Source organism: Homo sapiens, chromosome 15, assembly GCF_000001405.40.
Source record: "Homo sapiens chromosome 15, GRCh38.p14 Primary Assembly".
Taxonomy (NCBI): Eukaryota; Metazoa; Chordata; class Mammalia; order Primates; family Hominidae; genus Homo; species Homo sapiens.
Genome location: NC_000015.10, coordinates 100,320,405 through 100,341,975, shown reverse-complemented (window position 1 = coordinate 100,341,975; position 21,571 = coordinate 100,320,405). Strand labels below are relative to the sequence as shown.

The window sequence follows — 21,571 nt, the reverse complement described above, 5'->3', positions numbered from 1 at the left end:
ACTCCGGCTGGCGCCGCCGCCTAGCGCGCTCCTGCTTCGCCGCCACGGTCCGGGGGGGCTGCCGGTCCCGGGTACCATGTGTGACGGCGCCCTGCTGCCTCCGCTCGTCCTGCCCGTGCTGCTGCTGCTGGTTTGGGGACTGGACCCGGGCACAGGTAGCGCCCCCTCCCACAGCCCTCTTCACCCCGCGTCCTGCGGCTACCTTCCCTCTGCGTTCTCGCGGCGTCCTGGCGGCCCGGGGGCGGCGGCGGGACCGCTGACGGCGCCCGAGCGGAGGAGGCGCGGGCCGCGGCCGGAGTACGGGAATCGGGTGGCTCCGTGGCAGGCGCGCCGCCGCCGGGTCTCCGCTCGCCGATGCGCGGCGCCGTTCCGGGAGGTGCTCGCGCGGCTGCGCCGGAGACCCTCCCCGGGTGGCGCGGGCCAGCGTGGAGGTGCCGGGCGAGGGAAGGGAAGGCAGCGCCGGCTCCGGGTCGCGCTGTCCCCGCGCTGGCGCGGCTGGCGGCCAGCGGGAGGGCGGGCGTCCGGGCGGGCCCCGCCGCGCTGACGCGTCTCCTCTCTCCCCGCAGCTGTCGGCGACGCGGCGGCCGACGTGGAGGTGGTGCTCCCGTGGCGGGTGCGCCCCGACGACGTGCACCTGCCGCCGCTGCCCGCAGCCCCCGGGCCCCGACGGCGGCGACGCCCCCGCACGCCCCCAGCCGCCCCGCGCGCCCGGCCCGGAGAGCGCGCCCTGCTGCTGCACCTGCCGGCCTTCGGGCGCGACCTGTACCTTCAGCTGCGCCGCGACCTGCGCTTCCTGTCCCGAGGCTTCGAGGTGGAGGAGGCGGGCGCGGCCCGGCGCCGCGGCCGCCCCGCCGAGCTGTGCTTCTACTCGGGCCGTGTGCTCGGCCACCCCGGCTCCCTCGTCTCGCTCAGCGCCTGCGGCGCCGCCGGCGGCCTGGTACTGCCCGCGCCACCTCCGGGTCGGCCCGTCCGGTCTGTTGCGACGCAGAGTGGTCGCCGTGGAGGGTGGGGGTGGGGCGCCTCTGCTGGAAGTCCAGCCTCCAGGGGAACCGGAGGGAACCCCCTGCCTTTCCACCTCTCCCCATCCCCCACCCCGGCCTTCGGTACCCTCTATAGGCAAAGGGGGTGGGAGGGGCAGCATCCCAGTCCAGCGCCTCTGCAGCCCGTGGAACCCGCGCGGAGCTGGGGTTGCGTGGGGTATACGCCGCCCGCTCTAGGGAGCGCAGATCTGGCAGGGATGAAACTGTCAGGGCCCTGGACAGAGGCGCCTTGGCCCCAATGTAGAGAACACTGCATCTGCACCGCCGTGTCAAAGTGTATGTCACGGGAGTACCTGTGTACGTGTAGGTGTTATGTTCTTGGACTTGGAGGTGGGGGAGTGGGCATTCACCTCCCTTCCTTTTGAGTCTTCTCTCTGTACCTGGAACAGGAAGTTTGGAGAGGTACCCAGACAGGCCACGGCTCACCCCACTCTTCCTAGCTGAAACGTAAGAAACAGGAGAGAAAGGGTGTTTGTCTTTGCTTCCTTATACTATTAGTAGGCATTTATCTGGTGCCCACCCCCAACCAGGCCTGAGGGGTGTTTACATTGGTGATAAACCCTATTCCTGCCCCCAGGAGCTCCCTTGCTGTGGCAGTAACTTCCCTGCCCCGAAGTTCCTGGCCTGTTGCATTTGAGGCACCCGGAACAGGTGCTCCCAGGGGGAGGGGGGGTTCTTGTGTGCACTTGCCCTGCCTGCGCGCACACTTGATCATGTGGCTACACTGGCGCCCAGACGAGCACTCAGCTTCTCCATCGTGCCCCGAAAGCCGCACACATGGCCGGCAGATGGGCTGCCCCCAGCGAAGCTTGGTATGGACCCAGAGCATGAACCGCAGGGGTTCTCTGTCTTCTGTCATGACTGGCCTCTGGGGAGGCAGTTTCTGATATTAGTTTGTGTCTGTCCTTCCCAGGCACAAGAAACTGCTCCCCACACCTCCACCTTTTCTTGTGCCACCATCTAGAATTCTCCAGCCCTTACTCACAGAGTCTGTGGCGAGTCCTCGAGAATCTACGAAGCTAGAAGGCTGGGGGTGCAAGGTCTTATGTGAGACCTCTCTTTCTTCCCAGTCCTGCGGGTATCTCTGTGTGTAGTTTCCTAGATCAGTCTGGCTCTCCTTTCAGGAATTTTCTGAGTTCTGATTAGGGTATGATAGACTTTTGCTCAGCTGGGAAAAATAGGCAACTTTGGTGAAACAAGGAAAGTGATATAGACCCTTGGAGGGGGCCTGGTAGGAAGGAGCTAATGTGGACCTGGGGCGGGGAATGTGGACCTGGGGCGGGGAATGTGGACCTGGGGCGGGGAATGTGGACCTGGGGCGGGGAATGTGGACCTGGGGCGGGGAATGTGGACCTGGGGCGGGGAATGTGGGTTGTAGGCAAGGAGGCTTAAGTAGGAGTGAGAAAGGCTCAGATCACTGTAGGGCTCGGGTCAAGGCTGTATCATGTTCTGGGAGGGACTGGAAGGGCCACATCATTTTTCCTGTTTTTGCCAAAGTGTTTAAAGTCTAAGTCACATCATTGTACTGTACATGGAAACATCTGAATCCCATTTGCTGCGGTTTAGTGAGTTTCTGTAGAGGTCAGAGTTTATACTTCTTGGTGTAAAGTTTCCAGCAAGGAGCTATCTGTGAAGGCGCCGAGGTGGAAAGCTGGATAACATTGATTTAAAATCCTTGCAGAATGAGGGCTGGGCCCTGTCATAGATGGCATCTCAGCCAGCTTCTCGGCAAGACTGTCCTTCCCTTTAGCACCATGTGAGGGTGCTGTGCTTTAGATAAAGGAACCTGGCCAACAGGCTGAGTTCAGTGTGTGCCAGTGGCGGTTGTACCTCTAAGACTTCAGCTTTTAAATTCCTGCCGGAGCAGACACTTCTGTTGTTTAGTCTGCCTTGTTCATCCCGTTCGTGTGAGCTGGACATTGGACACTTCCCCCTCTGTACGTACTGAAGGCCGGAGGGAAGAGACAGTGGGGTGACTTGGAGGTGGACCCTTTGTTTGCAAGGTGGTCCTGAAAGCGTAAAGAAAAGAAAGCAACAGGAATTTGGGCTAACCAAGTTTGCATTGCAGACTAGCTTTGACTTTGGTTCTCAGTTCAGGTGGCTGATGATGTTGTGTTAGTCCCTCTTGACTGTGGTACTGTGGTAGAAGCTCTGTGAGTGGAGATGTGGAGTTGTGTGTGTGTGTATTTGCTACGACAGGCTCGGCTATAAGGTGTGGGAAGGGAGGCTATAAGTAGATGATTTTTGGTGGCCATGGAGGAGGGGCATTTCGAAGTGTCCTTGTATCTAAAAATGAGCAAGAGTCGGGCAAACTTCTTCTCTTAAGGACCAGAAAATAAATAGTTTAGGCTTTGGGGGCCACATAGCCTTTGTTGCAGCTGCTCAAAGCTGCCCTTTCAGTGTGAAAGCAGCTACAGCTACGGATGGCATACGAGCGAATGGATGTGGCCACGTTCAACAAAACTTCGTTCCGGATGTTGAGTATCATGTTAATTGCTGGTAAGTCCCACTGTATTGAACATCTCCTAAAGGGCTCAGTAGAGAGTGTTGAGTGCCTGGGCTGGGGGCACACACGTTCTATTCCATGTTGCATGGAATCTGTGCTGTTTGTCTCCAGAGATGTTTGCTGTCTGTTTAAAGGAGACGAATTATTAGAATAGATCATTCCGTAGCTGTTTAGGGGCCATGGAGAGTAAAGCACCTGTTCCATTTTTGCTCCTTTTCCTTTTGACAGCAGATAGAGGCATGGGCCTGCCGCATTCCTTTCTTGGTGTCTTATCCTGAAAAGCTGGGCCAGCTGCGCCTTTTGGATCTTCAAAGGCCATAGACTTAAGTATTAATTGTTTTCTGTTTATGCTTCTTCATTGTATTTACATTTCCAAGAGTCTTTAGAGCATGGGTTTTTTGGAAGTGTTTCTATGAGCATATCATTTCAAAGCATGAACTTCAGGTGTCTGAGGAAGGCCTTTACACTCTTCGTGAATTTATGTAAGTTCGGATCAGCTGCCTCTGTGATCAGGACTGGATCGTGGAAGGCCAGTGGAATTGGAATCAGGCTGAACTTCATAGGTAGACAGGATAGCGGAGAGGGCACTTCAAGAACAGCATGAGCGTCAGGCTCTGAAAAGAATCTTTGCAGCTTGTCTGAAGTGAGTGGCTGGAGGACTTGTTTTAGGAAGAGTGAACGAGAGGAGGGGAGGGCTGGAGGCCCCCTGCTGTCGGGTTTGGTCTGCCAAGCAGTGGCCATCCTTTCTTGGATGATACTCACAAAGCTTGGGAAGGCCACCCACTGGAATGTGTCCACCCCTTCTTGGAAAAAGCTGTGGCCTGCCAGGGGCACACTGTGAGATGGTGGGACCAGACAGACCACCAAGGAGCTCTGGGCTGCAAAACATTAAGCCATAACCGCGTTCCAGGTCACCTTGAAGGACTGTGAGAAGGTCAGGGATCCACGTTCCAGGCCACCTTGAAGGACTGTGAGAAGGTCGGGGATCCTCCTACCATAGCTCTTCTGTTGCCACAGCCACATGCTGTAGGACTCTTATTTGGAATCACTGGGGTCAGTCTGGTGGCCCAGCCCACCTCACTCTGACTGGTCAGCCTGACTGCAGACCACGTGTCCATGTTGGTAGCACGTCATTTGTGGCACATGGGACATTCATAGTTCCGTACAGCTATTCCAGTCCACTTGAGAACTTTAGAGAATGCATACCTCTAATTTATAGGGGAGCAAGTGTAGTCCAGATAAGAATAGATGGGGGCAGCCAGGTGCGGTGGCTTACGCCTGTAATCCCAGCACTTTGGAAGGCCGAGGTGGGTGGACCAGCAGGTCAGGAGCTCAAGACCAGTCTTGGCCAACATGGTGAAACCTCGTCTCTACTAAAGATACAAAAAATTAGCTGGGCATGGTGGTGGGCGCCTGTAATCCCAGCTACTCGGGAGGCTGAGGCAGGAGAATCGCTTGAACCTGGGAGGTGGAGCTTGCAGTGAGGTGAGATCCCGCCAATGCACTCCAGCCTGGGTGAGCTCAGCCAGCTGATGAGTAGGCAGCTTAGGTTAGAAGTGTTGGGGACCCCACTTTTAAGAGGGCAGCCTGCACGTGTACGACTCCTGTGATGAGAAAGCAGGTTTGGGATGTTACTACTTCTTTCTTTAGAAAAGAGTTTTCAAACCCTTTCGATTGATTGATTTACAAAATTGCCCAGCTTTATAATGCAGCCTACTCGATGGAGAACAGCTGAGTAGGAGTTAGTCTTGTCAAAAATTATATGGTGTGGAGACCCATTGGAAGGGTCTGCATTATAATACATCATTATATTGAGACAGGTCTGAGGAAGGTACGTAGTCCTAAGTGATTACTTATTATTGCTGAGGACTTGATCGTGTGCAGAATAAATATGTTTGGAGAATACAAAGCACATATATAGAACTTTGTAAAAAGAAACAATTGAGTGGATGTTAAGGGGCACTTTGGCAGGAATGGAAGAAGGGCAAAGACAGTTTTGTGGAGTTGAGAGGCACGGAAGTATTGGAGGGAAGAACTCAGAAAGTTCTAAGGCCTCTGGCTGCCACCTCTGGAACAACATTCCTGTGGCCTCATGGTGGCTTCTCTTTGTCCGCCTTTGTCCTCTCCAGCCCTGCATACTCTTGTTTTCCTCCTGATTACTCAGGGCTTCATCCAGCTGCAGCTCTCCAGGGCTGGGCTGACTCCTCTTAGGCTGCCAGGCACTGACTGCTCCTGCACCAGGCTGCCCACCAGCATCGTCTAGGACACACGTTAGATTTTCCCACTTTGAACTTTTGTTGACAACATTTAAAAACAAACGAAAAAGAAGTAAAAGATGGGACGATGAAGTGAAGCAGTCTTCTTTGACTGATTGCATTCTTGGAGCTTACTTCCTGAACTCTGAAATACTGCAGCTGCCTGATCTTGGATGTGTGTGATGGGGAAGATGTTTTTTGCAGCCAGTACATCTGAGGGAACCATGCAGAGTGGTTGGTTAACTTTTCCCTGGACCCGCTTCTGTGCACAGGTCCCCAGATGCATAGTCACATTCTTGCTTCTTAGGAAATGAAACTGTTTGGCCATTTGGAGCTGTGATCTTGAGCGAGTCACTTAACTCCTTTGAACCTTTCTGCCTGCAGCCATACAGGGGTAAATAACATAGCCCTGCAAGGCTGTTGGTAGAATGGAAGAAGATAAAGTCTGTGAAATCATTTAGTGAGAGCCTGGCACATTAAGGCATTAAAAACAGGCCGCTTCTCCTGCCCTGCAGGCTGTTCCCAGACTTTTCTAGTTATACATCAGCTGATCAGTCATCGCTGTTGCCTGAATGAGCAGATCATTATCACGCACCTGCCACGTGCAGGATGCTCTGGTAGGCGCCCAGCAAGGCTCAGAGAGAAAGACAATGCAGGCCCTGTCTGGGAAGGCAGTCCCAGCCTCCTGGAGGTAGGTGTGCTGGAGCCTGGAACTGGGCAGGGCGGGGCTCTGGGGAGGGAGGAGGGTAGCCTTCAGATTCCAGGAGGGAGAAGTGAGTGACTGAAAAGTCACCGAGGCCCCATTGTCCTGAGATAAGGGACCCATGAGTGGATTTGTGGGGTGGTGGTTTTACGGGAGAGATGGGGGTAGAGGAACTGAACTGGCAGGCGTGTGGATTAAATGGGGCAGGTCTCTGGGTGCCAACCGAAGGCATTTGGACTTGATCCTAGAGCAGTGGTTCTCAACCTTGAGCCGGCGTTACAGTCCCCTGGAGGGCCCGTTAAACTGACTGCTGGGCCCCATCCAGGAGTTTTTGATGTAGCAGGTCTGGGGTGGGCCTGAGAGCTTGCATTTCTCACAAGTTCCCCCGGGGGTGCTGATGCTGCCGTCCTGGGAGGGCACTCTGAGGGTCACTGGCTGAGAGGCGATGGAGGATGGGTAGTTGGGGAATCCTGGGGCTAGCCGTATGGGGAGGACTGAACGAGGGGAGCACTTAGAGCAGGGAGGTGACCAGGCTCAAGCCTCCGACCATGGCAAGCCTCAGAAAGGAAGGAAGACCACACGAGAGGGACTCTGAAGGGCAGGCTGGCAGTCCTTTTTGGCTGGCTGGCACTGACTAGTGGTCTGAAAGGGCTGACACTGAAGTGAGGGACCCCCACATTACCAAGGAGAGGCTTGCTTTGGGAAGAAGACCAAGCGTCTGTGCTCAGGCATTTCACATTCGAGGAGGCGGCGGGACCGGGGGAGGGGCCCTCCAGGTGGTGCCTCAGAAGGGGTGCAGGTTGGGAAGCCCCGCGTGGCCGTGTTGCGTGGGGGAGCCTCCTTCCACGGAAAGAGGTGCGTGCCCACCCGAGAGTCGGGGGGCAGGACGGGAGGATCGAAAGAGGTGTGTGCCCGCCGGAGAGTCAGAGGCAGGACGGGAGGATCTGCAGTTACAGGGTGGCTTTTTCTTCTTGGAAGCTGGTTGGTCCCTACAGGAAGCAAACTCACCACCCCGTTGGCCCTATCCTCTCAACCCATCTTGACCTAGAGAAGGAGACCTGAGACCCACTCATGTTAACTGAGGAGCTGCAGACTCCTGAAGAAAGGGAATTCCATTGCGGTCTTTGTGGAATCGTGTGACTTTGTCCCCTCCCACAGAGGCATGCTGCTTTGAAGCACACAGGACAGACGTTCTCTGTTATCTTAACTGCATTTTCTAAGCTATGCCGAGAACATGTGCTAACGTTAGGTGATAAAAACCTCTATGTCTTTCACACTTTCCACACTGCAGTGAGAGCTCGTCCTGCTTCAGGCACGAGGTGGTGTGGCGTGAACAATGCCTGATTTACAACTCTGTCTTAATAGAACCCTTCAAAGCAAGTACCCACAACAAAGAGAGTTGAAAGGTAACCACTCACAACTGCTGAAATATCAAGTTATTGCCTGATCCATTTTATTTGAGCCACACTTATAGTATAGCATACCAAATCCTGCAAAACTGAAGATTTCTCTTTTAAGAGCACCATTTCATTGGGGGCTTTATTATATGCCTTAAAACCAAGGGGCTTCAGGGCTGCCAGTTCTGTCTGCCATAGGCATTTATTTCTACAAAGTTTGTCTCTTTGGAGGACGGTTGCAGGCCTCTTGTGTCTAAGGCACAGGCTCATAGCTAGTGTTTCTTCATCGCCATCAATGGGACAGAAGAGGCCTTGGACAAACATTTCCCTGAGTCTCCCTTCCCCGCATAGATGGTGACACGGGAGTCACACAGATCCAAGAAGCCCTGCTCAGCTTTTGGGGCCACGCGCAGTCGTGGGCCAGAAGCAAGGGCAGTGGGCAGAGCTCCACAGAGGAAGTCCCAGGTTCCAAATCCAAGGACCTCTCCACATGGAATCAAGGCAGTAGGTGTCCAGGGTCTCCAGCACCCAGTGAAAAGCTAGGACGGCGCTTCTCAACCCTGGCTACACATTGAATTTTCCTGGTCACCTTTGAAAAAATATCAGTGCCTGGGCTCCACCCCAGAGATTCCGATTCACTTGGCCTGGAGTAGGGGCTGAGGCATCAGGAGTTTTCGAAGCTCCCCAGATCATAACAATAGGTAGCCGGGGATGAGAAGCCCTGAGCCAGGGGGCTGCAGGCAGTCTGTGCACGTAACTGCATTTTCAGTCGAATTTTTTCTTTCTGAGTAACTGTTATGTGGCAGACATTGGCAAAAACAGGAGGAATAATTCTGATCTTGCCTCAGTGGAACAAACCGTTAGGTCGTGAAAAGGTCCTATAACATGGGGTAGTGGGCTGGAATGTAAGAGTGCAGGGGGCTGCGGGGAAGGGGGTTTATTTAGGGAAGAGAGGTCAGGGAGAGAGAAGGAAGGCTGGTGGGTATTTGGGGTGAGACTGTGTGTAATGCATAGGTGGCACTTCTCAACAGGACGTTTGACCACTGGTGGCATGCTGACAATGGCAGTGTTAGGCTTGAAGGAACCTGGGGACAGTGAGACAGTGAGGGAGGAGGAGGCAGGGCCCTTCCTCACGCAGGTTCCCAGGGTGAGGGCCCTGTACAACCCCTCCTTCCTGGTGCTAGCCTGGCCACATCCCTGTTCGAGGTCGGGGCCCAAGAGGGCAAGTGGCTGCCGGGGCGAGTACCCACTAGTCCATTCATCCATCTTTCCCCAGCATTGCTGTTTTCTTCCTTAAGTTTATAGAAACCAGCACATGGGGGCCCTGAGAATTGTAAAGAAAAACCTTCCCTAAGGTGCTAAGTGATGCTTTGCATGTGTATATGAGTGTGTATGTGTAGGATTTCTCACCAAGGTGAGATCTCCCTGTCTTTAAAAATTTGTATCAGCTTAGAACTAACAGCTGACTGCTTTTTATGCCGGGGTTTGTGAATGCAAACTCTAGACTGAACGAATAATAACTAGCTTTGAAAGTGCTAGATCCTGGGGGGGCTTTGACCCACAGCCAGGGTGTTTCCAAATGAGTGCAGCCCCTCATTAGAGTGAAGCGTATCCTCTGGGGAGCAGGTGGGGGGTCCTCCCACGCGGGGCTCCATCCCAGGCACTGTGCCGTACCCTGCCCACTCTTTCTTGACTGCGGCAGTTTTCGGGTGTTCTGCACCGAGGCCGCATCGCGCACAGCTGTGATGGAGCTCTGCAGATCCCACTGTGGCCACCGTCTTCCATTTCTTCAGTTTCCCCAAAGTTTCCTAGTGAACAAACTCAAGTTTTCACTTTGAAGGAGAGGGAGGAAAGCTGTGCTCTCCTGCAGGTCATGCAGTGCCACTTTGAGACAGTTTTATTTGGGCAGTAAAATCTTTGAGTTTTTCTTGGCAAAAGTTCTAATGAAATGGAAACCTTGAAATATGCTTAGAGCGGTAAGTATGGCCTCACCCTGTATCTTGGGGACGCAAGATTGTAGGCGATCTTATTAGTTGATCTGATTTACTTTCCAGGAATCTTGGTACTGGTGCATCCTTTCAGAACGTAGAGCTGGGGTCTATCTCATTTGGCTTAAGTGAGTTTTATACTTGAGACTGGAGTTAGCTCTGCGTGTGGTGGGGAGTGCTGTTTCTCCAAGTGTGGTCCCTGTATTACATGGAAACTTCTTAGAAATGCACATTCTTGGGCTCCAGCAGGACCTCCAGGTGATTTGGGCACACGCTAGGCTTTGAGAACCAGGGGTGTAGTGTGTCATGGCTTTTGAAAAGTGAGGGTGGAAGAGGGAGACAAGAAAGGATGCCATGGCCCCCTGAGACTCATCCGCCAGATCTCCTGAATCTGCGATCAAAGGCAGTTCGGGATTGTTCCCAGGAGAAGGGGATGTTGACTGCATCGATCAGTGTTCAAACCAGGTCCTCCCCTGGCCCTGCCTGGGTTCGATTTCCTTGAGAGATTTACCATTTTGACTCTGCATAAGAAGGGAAACTAGCAGCAGGTGCCTGCTGAAGGAGGGCAAATTGTTTTGATGCTGTCAAAACAATACTAATGTTACTCTTAATATACCCAGGGATAAGATACATTTTTCCATTAGGGATACAAATGTCATTCCCAACAATTTCAGTGTTGCCTCCCAGGTGGACTTTTGGGGGGATGATTTTTGAAGTAACTTAAAAAATAATTTTAAAATTAAAAATTTGATAATGAAGTAGTTCATCTTCTCTGAAAGCCAACATGGAAAATGGATGCTGTTGTATCTGTCTCTGTACCCCTACCCCCAACGCAGCTGCTCTGTGGTATGTTTGTAAGTCACACACAAGCTCACTCTTGGGCTCAGGTAAATCTGACCAATCTGCAAAGAAACGAGCCCAGACCTGGAAAACCAAATCACAGCAAGGTGGTCTTGCCTGCCCCTCCGGGGGGCCATGGGCGTGTGTGAGTGAGGATGACCGACATCGCGTTTCCTTCTCCTTTCTGGACAGGTTGGCCTCATTCAGCTTGGGCAGGAGCAGGTGCTAATCCAGCCCCTCAACAACTCCCAGGGCCCATTCAGTGGACGAGAACATCTGATCAGGCGCAAATGGTCCTTGACCCCCAGCCCTTCTGCTGAGGCCCAGAGACCTGAGCAGCTCTGCAAGGTTCTAACAGGTGAGTCGGGGCAGCAGCATGACCAGCTTAGAACACACGCACAGCCCACATCCTTTGTGTGTCTCCAAGTGCACTGAAGCCACATGAGTGAGAACTTACCTTCCCCTATATTTCAAAAGCTGTTTTATTGCCCTGAGACCACTTCCTTTTCCTTTCTATGTGTCTTAGTGTCGGCAGTCCTTTGAAAAAGTCATCGTTTTGTTTCTGCAAGGAACCTAGGATCTCTTTCATGCAGTCCCTCAATTTTATATATCAAGAGCAAGTTGAGGTCCAAAAAACCTTGTAGCCGAGCTTGGATAAGAATTCCCTCCTCCTGGTGCCCTGGCCAGGAGCTCACTCTTAATAATACAGTGCTCCCGAGTTCTGGCCGCAGTAACTAAAGCCACCTGGGGCGCCTCTGAAGCTGTGATTCGATTCTCGATTCTTACAGTGTGGCCCCCGGGCCAGCAGCATCAGCATCACGTGGGAACTTGTTAGACATGCACATTTTCAGGCCAGAGCTGTGAATCAGAAACCCTGGGGGAGGGTCCAGTCATCTGTAGTTTCACGGGTCCTCCAGGGGATTTAGATACGTGCTAAAGTGTGAGAACCACTGCTTTAAAACTTGCCATGCACTGGCCTGTCCCCCAACATCCTGATCTGTTTTAGTCTGGGGTATGATTTGGGTGCCAGGGTTTTTAAAAGTGATTTTAAGATGCAGTGTGGGGGGAGAACCTGGGGCTCTTATACTCTGGGTCTCTCTTTGAACAACCCTAATGTGGATGACCTGTCACCTGTTTAAGGACATTTCATGGGGCTACAAATGTCCCCAGATGAAGTTGGAGCACAGGTGGCATTTCCTCCCAGGAGATCGTGGGACCCCACTGCTGACTTCTGGGGGTTGTGCTTCTGTAGTTTAAAGACTTATCTTTGTATGAAAATGCAGTGTGTCTTGGTTTAGTATTCTGGTGACATTGGAAACAATGTGTCTTGGTTTAGTATCCCGGTGACATTGGGAATAAATTATGTGACTGCTTTAGAATTACCTTGTTATTTGTAAACAAGTTTTGCAGTTGAGCTCAGCTGCTGTGTGTGGACTGGATGGCAGTACATTGACTTTCTCCTTAGCCTAGTCTGTGTGGGCAAGGTGAGTATTAGAGGTGATTGTGCTGGATAGAGGGCATCTCTGAAACCTCAAGAGAGCTTTGAGTCTCAAATGGAGACATTAGGGTTTTTCTGTTCTTTCTGCCTCCTTACAAAAGTGAGGAAGACCCCGTACAATTACTAGCACCTAAAAAATACCTTTTAATAGGAAACAGGGTCTTTGGTCTGACAGTTGGTTGTGTGTGGATTTGATGTCAGTATGGCTTTTTTTTTTTTTTTGGAGACACGATCTCACTCTGTCACCCAGGCTGGAGTGCAGTGGTGTGATCATGGCTTGCCACAGCCTTGACCTCCTGCGCTCAGGTGATCCTCGCTCCTGAGTAGCTGGGACCACAGGCGTGCACCACCACACCTGGCTAATTTTTGTTTTGGTAGAGATGGGTTTCACTGTGTTGCCCAGGCTGGTCTTGAACCCCTGGGCTCAAGTGATCCTCTCGCCTTGGCCTGCCAAAGTCCTGGGATTATAGGCATGAGCCACTATGCCTGGCCCCCTGCAGTGTGCTATTTTTAACCTGAGCCCCTGACCCTACCTAGTTCTGTCTTGACGTACCGGCACAGAGGCAGAGGGATTTCTCTACGGCAGTGGTTCTCAGTCCTGGCTGTACCTTAGCATCACCTGGGAAGCTTTAACAGCTACTCACGCCTGGGTCCCACCCACAGAGAACCACTTTAATTAGACATCCTGGGGACATCTGGCAAAGTAAAGACTCCCAGGTGGTTCTGATGTTCAGCTGGTGTTGAAAACCACATCGCTAAGGACTGTTAAACCTGAGGAATAGCACCTGTGGGCCATCGGGAGTGGATTTTCCCATTTGAGCACCTTCAAGCAGGGCCATGCAACGAAACAAAGGACAGATGTGTCTTCTTCTCACTGTTCTCTCTGCTCACGCCACCGTTCATCAGACTCTAGTCCATGGTCAGAACTCAGCGTGCTTGTAGATGAGATAATGGGATGTTTGTCTAATGGCCGCCTTCCATCCCCTTTAGTGGTGTGATACTGAGGATCACTGACATGATAAATGGTGCTTGTGTTTGCATTTTTGTCCCTAAGGAGAGTTTTGAGGCATTCTTTTGATAGACTGTTTAGCCTTTAATGAGGAAATAAAATTAACAAAATCAGGGTGGGGTGGGTGTGATGGAACAAGTTAAAACAAGAGCAGCCACGCAAGACTGTAGGGAGAAATTTCTGAACTTGCTTAAAAATACAATCTCTCCTTCCCTGCTCTCAAACCTTGCATCAGCTTGCTTTTTGGTGCGGGAGTAATGTGCGGATTTAAGGTTGTGCCAGACTCAGGCTCTGCACTAGTCAGGAACACAGACACAGAGGAGAGTTACATATTTTGCTTCTGGTCCTTCTTGCATTGCATGAAATATTCAGTAAATGTGGCTGTCCTGAGAATGACAATGGGCCTTTTAATAGGCTGAGCTAATGAGCAGTCAGTTAGGCCCTATCTAGTTTGGATTAGCTTTCAAACATCAGGAGTTTAGAAATCGGGAAAATTAATTTACTGGGACATCTGCAAAGTACATTCTTTAAGTTTCCTAGAAGTTTCCTAATCTTTCCTAGAAAGATTAATCAGATTAATCCAAGCTTTCCCATGGGAACATGCTCTTCCTGGCTGAACATGGCAGCCATAGGTTTCGTGCCCTGTTGGTGACCCTGTGTTATGATAGCCTTGGACATGGTCTGAGAGTAGCCTTGCCGGCTCTTGTAGGTGAGGAGAAGTCTAAGAAACTTCCTCCATGAAGCACTCAGTGTACTTGAAAGGTGAACCTAGGTGAGCCGCTGTGCTGAGTAGGGTTTTATGTCTGAGCAGGGTTGGTGGCTAGAAGGACTGACACGGCAAAGGCCATCTGGGAACTGTTTCTTTCCCTTGGATACTACTGAGGTTGCATTTCTAATGGTCTTTGGGGCTTCAGGCGAGGGGACAGGCTGATCCTGTTTCCTACATTGCTCCTTATTTTGGGGGCCTGATAAACTGATCCATAAAATAGCACTCCAGGTTGGAACTTGGCAAACTAAAATGGTACCTTGGATATTTTGAAATGTTCCTTGATTTTTAAAAAGTTACTTTGACTTCAAACGTTCTAATCTTCCTTCTGTGCTTGTTTTAATTTCTCCATTATGATTCAGTTTAGAATCTTCCTCCCAGCATTTTCATACTCTTAAGTAACTATGAATCTTCCTCTCCTCCCCCATGGTGTATTTCACATGTGTGTGGTAGAAGTAGATGGTGAAATAGAAGAGTGATTTTCCCTTGGCCTTTGCAGTATAGGAATCCTGCAACATGCTGAGTGGTGGTGAGCTCACTGGAACGTGATTATGCCTCCAGCTGTGGTTTCTGTGAAGCACTGATGTCTACTTTATAGGTTAAGTTCTGTTATCATTGTTTCAAAAAATCATTGTGGTTATTTTTTAGTATTGTTTGTTCATTTATAGCATTATAAAGGTAATGTCAATGAGTATTTGGTGGATACTATAACTCTGTAGAAACTGCGCATTGCTAATTTATGCAAGAATTTGCACGTATAATACGTGTATATCCTCTGTAGTGCACAGTTGGTCAGGTCTTGTGCTTTGTACCAATTATGCCTAGTGTTCCATTATTGGAACGCTAAGCTTGTGGGAGTTATTTATACCCTACTGCTCAAGGTCATCGCCAAGGTCTGAGTTTTCACAAAAAAAATGTGCAACCTCTGGCATAAATGGGTTAAGATTCATTCGGTTGGAAATGACAGAAATGAAACTGACTTAAACACTAAAGACATCATTGACATGAGTTCATGGAGCTGATGAGTAAAGCAGGAGGTTGGACATCAGGTAACACTTACCCAAGCTTCACTTCTCTGCGGTCACTTCTTTGTATGACACCCTCTGTCCTCACCTGGCTCCGCTTAGGGTGACCAAGAGGCAGCTAGGATGAGGTCAACCCTTCTTTTTAATTAGGATGAGGGGGTCAAACGTTCTGTTTAATTGGGATTTGAAGTGGGTTGGCTTGGATTGGGTTTGCCACTAGCTGCAAAGGTTTATGGCAGGCTTAGGTCTCTCCCCATAAAGAGCGTAGGTGCCAGTACTCATGTGACTATGCAGATACCACTCTGTTTCCATCCCTGTCCTGACTTTTGCCAGCCATCACACACTTGGTAAAAGTCTGGAGTAGATTTAGGACATCTCAAATCCAGGTGTAATCCATTATTACAGCCCACACAGTTAACAATTGGCTGTTTCCTCCTTATTTCCACAGCTTAGATGCTAATGAGCTCCTCATTCCACCTGTGCCCCAGGGATAACTGTAGCTGATCTTTGCTCAGCAAGGGCCAATCCCTCTGAAATTTGGTTCCTCTACACTTCTTTGAGACCGTAGCTCTCCCAGTGGATAAAATAAAATATGATTTTGTAGTGTATCCAGTGTTCTTTGCTGTAAAAGTGGTAGTTGGAGTCTTTCCTGTCCTTCTACATCTTAACTGGAAGCAGAACCTAAAAGGAATGGCATTAAATTGCTACTTTGAGTTTCTTTAAGTTAATATTTTAAACATTTATTTGCATATAAATGTTAACTCTATAAGTAGACATCAATAGTTTAAGAATTATTATTCCGCAAAGAGAAAAAAGAACCATGGTAGAGGCGCAATTCTGTTCCCTTTGCTGTAACCCCAGAAAAAGAGTCCCTTGATGTCTCTGTGCTTCTGTGTGTGGAGCGAAGAGGCTGCTCCAAAGCTGCACAGACCCAGGGGCTTAACCGAAATTTATTGTTTTGTTGGTATTTATTATTCATAGTTCTGGAGGCCAAAAGTGTGGGATCAAGGCGTTGACAGGGTTGGTTCCTTCTGAGGCTATGAGGAAAGGATCTGTTCCAGGCTTCTCTCCTTGGCTTGCAGATGGCTATTGTGTTAGTCGATTTGTGTTGCCTGAAGGAATACCTGAGGCTGGGTAATTTATACAGAAAAGAGGTTTATTTTGGCTCAGAGTTCTGCAGCGTCTACATAAAGCATAGTGTCAGTGTCTGTTTCTGGTGGAAGATGAAGGGGAGCCAGCGTGTCACATGGGGAGAGAAGGGAGCAAGAGAGAAGGGAACGAGAGAGAGCGAAGAGGTGAGGGTCGTTTTAAACAGCCAACTCTTGCATGAACTAATGGAGTGAGAACTCACTCATCACCACGGGGATGGCACTAAGCCATTCATGAGGGATCCGCCACCTCCCACTAGGCTCCACCTCCAGCATTGGGCAGCATGTTTCATTATGAGATCTGGAGGGGACACACATCCAAACCGTATTGGCCGTCCTCTCCCTGTGTCTTCACATGGTCTTATCTCTCTGCATGTCTCCGTCCAAATTTCCTCTTAGGAGGATCCCAGTCATTGGATTAGGGCCCACTGTTGTGCTTTATTTTAACTTAGTTACCTCTGTAAAAACCCTATCTGCAAATGCAACCACATTCTAAGGTCCTGGGGGTTAGGACTTCAACATAGGAATCTGGCAGGGTTCTGGAGTGGTGGGCAGGGGTGTGGTGCATAGTTCAAGCCACACAGCCTCTGTTTTCTTACCTGCACCATGGGGTGGTGATGTCTGTTGTAGGATAATTGCGGAGGAACACTGAGAACCAGGGGTGCTGTAACCACCTCCAGCCACTCTGGAGGGCATGTTCAAGCGAACCGTCATAAATGTCTAAAAGGTAAAAATCACATTTACAGGAAACTAGAAGTGGGCCACACAAAGGGACCCTGTCTGTAACAATAGACACCATCGTTGGCTGGTCAGCTATTCAGTTACACTCTTGATAACAATTTGAGGGGCTGTGTAAGCTCAGGCAAGTTAGAATGGTGCCACCCTCTCTGAGCTTCAGTTTCCTTGTAATGTCATCTACCTCTTAGGGCTTTTGTGAGTATTAAATGAGTTAATGCAGACTTGCCACTTAGGGCCAGTCCATGTTGGCTATTGCTGCAGCTGCTGTGGTTATAATTCACCTGCTCATTTTTGACTATTGAGGAGACCACTTCAATGCCCTTTTTCTGTATTAAGTCAGGGAGAGAGAGGGCCTGCAGAGCACTAAGCTGGGAGCTAGAGACTCTCATTAGTATTCTTGAATCTGCCATCCTTGCCTCTTGAGCAAATCCACAAGAAATCAAGGAATCTTAGTATTTGTAGACAGGAAGTTATGCTTCCCTTCTCACTGACCCTCCGGACTCTGGTGAGATTTGCATACTATGGCGAACATGACATAGTATGGTCCTTGCCTCCAGAGAACTTAGGGTTTGGTGGGGGAGATAGGCAGTAAAGACATAAATGAATGTAGCAGGTGTAAATTATTTTGAATTATGAAATAATTTACAACAGGCAAAACACAAAAAAGAAACCTGCGTATCCAGTATTCAGACCTACCCTATGTTAACATGTGGTCAGATTTGCTTCAGAGCTTTTTTTTTCTATTTATTTATTTATTTGAGACGGAGTCTCACTCTGTCACCCTGGCTAGAGTGTAGTGGCGTGATCTCGGCTCACTGCAAAATCTGTCTCCCGGGTTCAAGTGATTCTCCTGCCTCAGCCTCCCAAGTAGCTGGGACCACAGGTGCCCACCAGCACGCCCGACTGATTTCTGTACTTTTAGTAGAGATGGGGTTTCGCCATGTTGGCCAGGGTGGTCTTGAACTCCTGACCTCAGGTGATCTGCCTGCCTCGGCCTCCCAAAGTGCTGGGATGCTTTCTTCTTTTTTTTTTTTTTTTGAGAGAAAGGAACGTTTACGGATGTGACTGATGGCGTTCTCCCCTCCACCCACTATCATGGCTCTGGCTTATTCCCCGGAAGCAACCACCAGACTGACCTGACATAGGGGACCCCTTCCTTTCCATGTTTTTTTGTACTTTTATAGCGATTATGATATATAGTCATAAACTGCATACTGTATTGTTTTGTATGTTTTAAAATTCACATAAATGATTTTATGCTGTGCAGCTTGCATTTATCACTCACAGTCATGTCTTCTAGATTTATCCATCTTAATAAATGCAAATCTAGTTCATTTATCTTTATTGCAGAGTTTTGTCTATTAACCTTTTCGAAGAACTGGCTTGGTTTTGTTTTTATTTTTGAATTTCTATTTGTATCTTTATTTTTTTTCCTTTATTCCTTTTTTAAATGTTCTCTAGGTTTATTCCTATTGCTTTTTCCCTAACTTCTTGAGTAGAATACCTAGCTCAGTAAATTTTACTATCTTCATATTTAATTTCTGTATTTAAGGCTACTCATTTCCCTGTAAGCACACCTGTAGGGGCATACAAATTTTCATATGTAATATTTCTAGTACCCACTTCTAAATAGTCTGTAATTTCCACATACCTTTTCCCTAAAGAGGCAGTACAGTATAGTGGTAAGAATTTAGACACAAGTTTACTGGATTTGATTTCCTGTCTCTACCACTAGCTTGAGTGACCTTGGGTTATTTATTTAACCCCTTTAAAGTGTCTCAATTTCTTTATTTGTAAAAGGGTGATAATGCTTGCATGTATTTTATAAAATTAAGATGATTAAGTTAATATATGTAAACACAGCATGTGGCAGAAAGTAAATATTATGCTATAAATTAATTGAATTTTTATTTTTTCATATAATTTTTTTGGTATCTTTACAACATGATTTATAATTCTTTTTTTTTTTTTTTTTTTTGAGACGGAGTCTCGCTGTCTCCCGGGCTGGAGTTCAGTGGCACAATCTCAGCTCACTGCAAGCTCCGCCTCCCGGGTCCATGCCATTCTCCTGCCTCAGCCTCCTGAGTAGCTGGGACTACAGGTGCCCGCCACCACGCCTGGCTAATTTTTTGTATTTTTAGTAGAGATGGGCTTTCACCATGTTGACCAGGATGGTCTTGATCTCCTGACCTCGTGATCTGTCTGCCTCAGCCTCCCAAAGTGCTGGGATTACAGGTGTGAGCCACCACGCCTGGCCAATTTATAATTCTGTGTATAACAATGGAGAATGTGGTGCATATGATATTTCCATTTTTTAAGTAGTGTCAGTATTTCTGCTGCAATTTCCTGTCTTTTCATCCATCATGAGCACATTTTCCTTTAAGTCCTTGAGCATTATGGTAATAATTGCTTCAAAATTCTTGTCTGCTATTCTAACATCTGGGTCATCTTCGGGTTTGGTCTACATTGATTGTCTTTTCTCTTAAAAAGGGGTCACATTTTCCAAGTTATTCATGTGTCAAGTAATTTTGGATTGTGTTCTGGATATTGTAAATGTAACGTGGAGATTCTGAATTCTATTACTCTGGAGAGTATTTTAGCTGGCAATTAATTTTGTTGGACTCAGACTGCAGAATTTGTATCTTGGGTGGCAACTCAAATCTCAGTTCTTTTATTCTTAACTAGACTCTTTTCCATGTAGGCATCATCCTGAGAGTTGGGTAGAATTTATATACAGAATTTTCGGCTTCCCCTTTGTGGATCTCTCCTTTCCAGCATGCCTCCCCCATACTTTCCAGTCACCTTGTTGCCCTGCACTCTGTCCTCTGGTTCTTCAGATCACAGGGGCTGCAAGCTTTCTGTTGGAGCGTTACCCCTTCTGCATGGCACTGACCAGGCCTTCCCTCAGTCTCCTGTGCTGTTCCTGTCTTCCAAGTGTTGACTCCACCCACATCTTCCAACCTTCAGGTGTTTGGATTTTTGTATTTTTTTCAAGTTTACAGTTGCTATCTGTAGGAGGATTAGGTTTATTAGAAGCTTTTGAGCATACTGAATTCCGTATGTCATTGATTTACTGGTAGTGGTAGAGATTTGCATCGTGGCCTAGAACATAGATGTTTTTGTTTTAATAAATGTTTTATGTATAAATGAAAAGAGTACATAATCTCAAATTACTGCAAACAGATTATATATTTTCTAATTGTTGTGTTCTATATGCCCATTTACTGAAGTTAGTGTGATGTCAGAATCATTTATAGTCTCATTATTTTGGACCTGCTTGATTTGTTTTAGAGATATATTAAAAATCTCATAACTTATTGTGGCTTGGCCAGTTTTACCTTTTAATTCTATTGATCTCTGCTTTGTAAGTTGTGAGGCAGTATTGTTTGGTGCACACAGGTGTATGAGCTGTACGGCTGGTGAGCCATTCCTTTTATCATCATGTAATGGGCCATTTTTATCCCTGCCAATACTTTTGTCCTTCCAGATGTTTTCAGCTAACGTTAGTATTGCCAGTCAGGTTTTATTTTGGTAAATGTTTGCTTGATGTTTCTTTTCCCTTAGTTTTATTTTCAGTCATTCTCTGTCATGATGATGTACGTATGTTTCTTAAAAGTAAGATATATTTGAATTTTTTAAAAAATGTCAAATTTGGGAATATGTTTTTTCATTGGCAGAGTTAGTGTTTTCATGTTTCTAGTATTGCTAGAATTCATTTTATTTATTTTATCTGTTTACTATACCATGCTTTTTCTTTGCTTCTGTTTCTCTTTGTTGTTGTTTGTTTGTTTCTATTGGCTTGACCAACTTTTAAAAAAAATTTCCCCTTCTCTCTTCCACTGGTGTGGAAATTTGATAATCTATTAAAATTTTGTTGTTGTTGCCTTAAAAATATATAAAGGAAGTCTGAGGCATCAGGTTTCCTTCATTGATAATATAAAAGCCTTCAAATGCTTTATCTTGATTTTACACGTTATTTTTATCTGTTAATTTAACCACATTTTGTCTTTGTCTCTTCCCAATGAATGGTAATCATGTTTTTGCAGTTAGAATTATTTAGATTTACTGATATCTTTGTCAGCTTGCTCAGTATTGTTTCTTGCAACCCTCTTCCCTGGGCTTAATGTCCTTGAAGAACATTTTTAAATGAGGGTTTGCAAATGGCTAAATTATTATTTTTGCTTTGTCCAAACTGTCTTTATTTTACCTTTACTCTTTTTTTCTTCTTTTGAGACAGAGTCTTGCTCTGTCTCCCATGCTGGAGTGCAGTGGCGCGATCTTGGTTCACTGCAACCTCTGCCTCCCAGGCTTAAGGGATCCTCCTACCTTAACCTTTCGAGTAGCTGGGACTACAGGCATGCGCCACCACACCCGGCTAATTTTTAGTATATTTTTAGAGACAGGGTTTCACCATGTAGCCCAGGCTGGTCGCCATCTCCTGGAACTAAGCAATTGGCCCGCCTCGGCCTCCCAAAGTGCTGGGACTACAGGTGTGGGCCATGGTGTTCAGCCTCCGCCCTTATTCTTAGTGACGATTTATCCAAATGTGGAATCCTAGGTTGAGTCTTCACACTTTAAAGATACTATTGTACTGTGTTCAGACTGCTATTTTTGTTACAAAAGGTCCTCTGCCCCTCTGATTTTAGATTCTGTGTAAT

The 21,571-nt window shown here is 48.2% G+C and overlaps 1 protein-coding gene across 13 annotated transcripts in view, besides 1 other annotated feature; it reads left to right on the top strand.

Moving 5' to 3' along the window:
• Positions 1–21,571, top strand: part of ADAMTS17 (ADAM metallopeptidase with thrombospondin type 1 motif 17) — a 370,539-nt gene continuing 348,968 nt past the window's right edge. For 12 of the 13 annotated variants that reach the window (XR_001751118.2, XR_001751120.2, XR_001751119.2 and 9 more), the window contains exons 1-3: positions 1–155; positions 567–937; positions 10,922–11,087. Coding sequence is in view for 9 of the 13 variants with exons in the window: in NM_139057.4 (NP_620688.2) it covers positions 77–155; positions 567–937; positions 10,922–11,087 (616 nt within the window). In the remaining 4 variants the exon portion in view is untranslated. Of the gene's footprint in view, positions 156–566; positions 938–2,846; positions 2,978–10,921; positions 11,088–21,571 lie in introns of those variants that run through there. The other variant, XM_017021984.2, reaches the window with a different exon arrangement.
• Positions 1,149–1,667: an enhancer, noted in NCBI's record as "H3K27ac-H3K4me1 hESC enhancer chr15:100880514-100881032 (GRCh37/hg19 assembly coordinates)". NCBI's record gives its function as "activates a minimal SCP1, AML or CMV promoter by ChIP-STARR-seq in naive and primed H9 embryonic stem cells {active_cell/tissue: H9 hESC(naive and primed)}" and the evidence as "EXISTENCE:reporter gene assay evidence [ECO:0000049][PMID:30033119]".